A 2,343-nucleotide genomic window follows, 5' to 3' on the forward strand; every position below is an offset into this window, starting at 1 on the left:
CTTCAGAATATTATCCAGGAGAACTTCTCCAACCTAGCAAGACAGGCCAACATTCAAATTCAGGAAATACAAAAGACCACCACTAAGATACTCCATGAGAAGATCAACCCCAAGACACATAATCATCAGATTCTCCAAGGTCAAAATGAAGGAAAAATGTCAAGGGCAGCCAAAGAGAAAGGCAGGTCACCTACAAAGGGAAGCCCATCAGACTAACAGCAGACCCCTCAGCAGAAACCCTACAAGCCAGAAGAGATTGGTGGCCAATATTCAACATTATTAAAGAATTTTTGGCCAGGCGCGGTGGCTCACACCTATAATCCCAGCACTTTGGGAGGCCTAGGTGGGCAGATCACGAGGTCAGGAGATCGAGACCATCCTGGCTAACATGGTGAAACCCCGTCTCTACTAAAAATACAAAAAAATTAGCTGGGCGTGGTATTGGGCACCTGTAGTCCCAGCTACTCGGGAGGCTGAAGCAGGAGAATGGCATGAACTTGGGAGGCAGAGGTTGCAGTGAGCCGTGATAGCGCCACTGCACTCCAGCCTGGGCAACAGAGCGAGACTCCATCTCAAAAAAAAAAAGAATTTTCAACCCAGAATTTCATATCCAGCCAAATTAAGTTTCATAAACAAAAGAGAAATAAAATCTTTTTTTCAGACAAGCAAACACTGATGGATTTTGTCACCACCAGGCCTGCCTTGCAAGAGCTCCTAAAGGAAGCCCTAAATATGGAAAGGAAAAACTGGTACCAGCTATTGCAAAAACCCACTGAAATATAAAGACCAATGACACCATGAAGAAACTGTATCAACTAGTGTGCAAAATAACCAGCTAGCATCAAAATGACAGGATCAAATTCACACAGAACGATAGTAACCTTAAATGTAAATGGGCTAAATGCCCCAATTAAAAGACACAGACCGGCAAATTGGATACAGTCAAGACCCATCAGTGTGCTATATTCCAGAAACCCTTCTCATGTGCAAAGAGACACATAGACTCAAAATAAAGGGATGAAGGAAAATTTACCAGCCAAAGGGAAAGCAAAAACAAAAACAAAAACAAACAAAAAAAAAAAACAGGGGTTGCTATCCTAGTCTCTGACAAAACGACAAAACAGACTTTAAACCAACAAAGATAAAAAAAGACAAAGAAGAGCATTACACAATGGTTAAGGGATCAATTCAACAAGAGGAGCTAACTATCCCAAATCTATATGCACCCAATACAGGAGCCCCTAGATTCATAAAACAAGTTCTTAGAGACCTGCAAAGAGACTTAGACTCCTACACAATAATAGTGAGAGACTTTAACACCCCACTGTCAATATTAGACAGATCAACAAGACAGAAAATGAACAAGGATATTCAGGACTTGAACTCAGGTCTGGATCAAGTGTACCTAATAGATACCCACAGAACTCTCAAATAAACAGAATATACATTCTTCTGAGTGCCACGTGGTACTTATTCTAAAATCGACCACATAATTGGAAGTAAAACACTCCTCAGTCTCTCAGACCACAGTGCAATCAAATTAGAACTCAGGATTAAGACATTCGAAACCACACAACTATATAAACATAAACTGAACAATCTGCTCCTGAAAGACTCCTGGGTAAATAAGGAAATTAAGGCAGAAATCAAGAAGTTATTTTAAACCAATGAGAACAAAGAGACAATGTACCAGAATGTATGAGACACAGCTAAAGCAGTGTTTAAACAGAAATTTATAGCACTAAATGCTCACATCAGAAAGCTAGAAAGATCTCAAATCGACACTCTCACAGTTAAAAGAACTAGAGAAACAGGAGCAAATAAATCCAAAAGCTAGCAGAAGACAACAAATAACTAAGATCAGAGAGGAACTGATGGAGACAGAGACAAAAAAAAAAAAAAACCCTTCATAAAGTCAATGAATTCAGGAGCCGTTTTTTCAAAAAAAAAAATTAACAAAATAGATAGACCGCTAGCTAGACTAATAAAGAAAAGAAAGAAGTCAAACAGACACAATAAAAAATAATAAAGGGGATAGCACCACTGACCTCACAGAAATACTAACTACCATCAGAGAATACTATCAACACCTCTAAGCAAATAAACTAAAAACTTTAGAAGAAATGGATAATTTCATGGACACATACACCATCCCAAGGCTAACCCAGGAAGAAGTCAAATCCCTGAATAGACCAATAACAAGTTCTGAAATTGAGGCAGTAATAGCCTACCAACCAAAAAAAGCCCTCGACAGACAGATTCACAGACAAATTTTACCAGAGGTACTAAAGGGGCTGGTACCATTCTTTCTGAAACTACTCCAAACAATTGAAAAGGAGGGAC

This window comes from Homo sapiens, chromosome 8, assembly GCF_000001405.40.
Source record: "Homo sapiens chromosome 8, GRCh38.p14 Primary Assembly".
Lineage (NCBI taxonomy): Eukaryota > Metazoa > Chordata > Mammalia > Primates > Hominidae > Homo > Homo sapiens.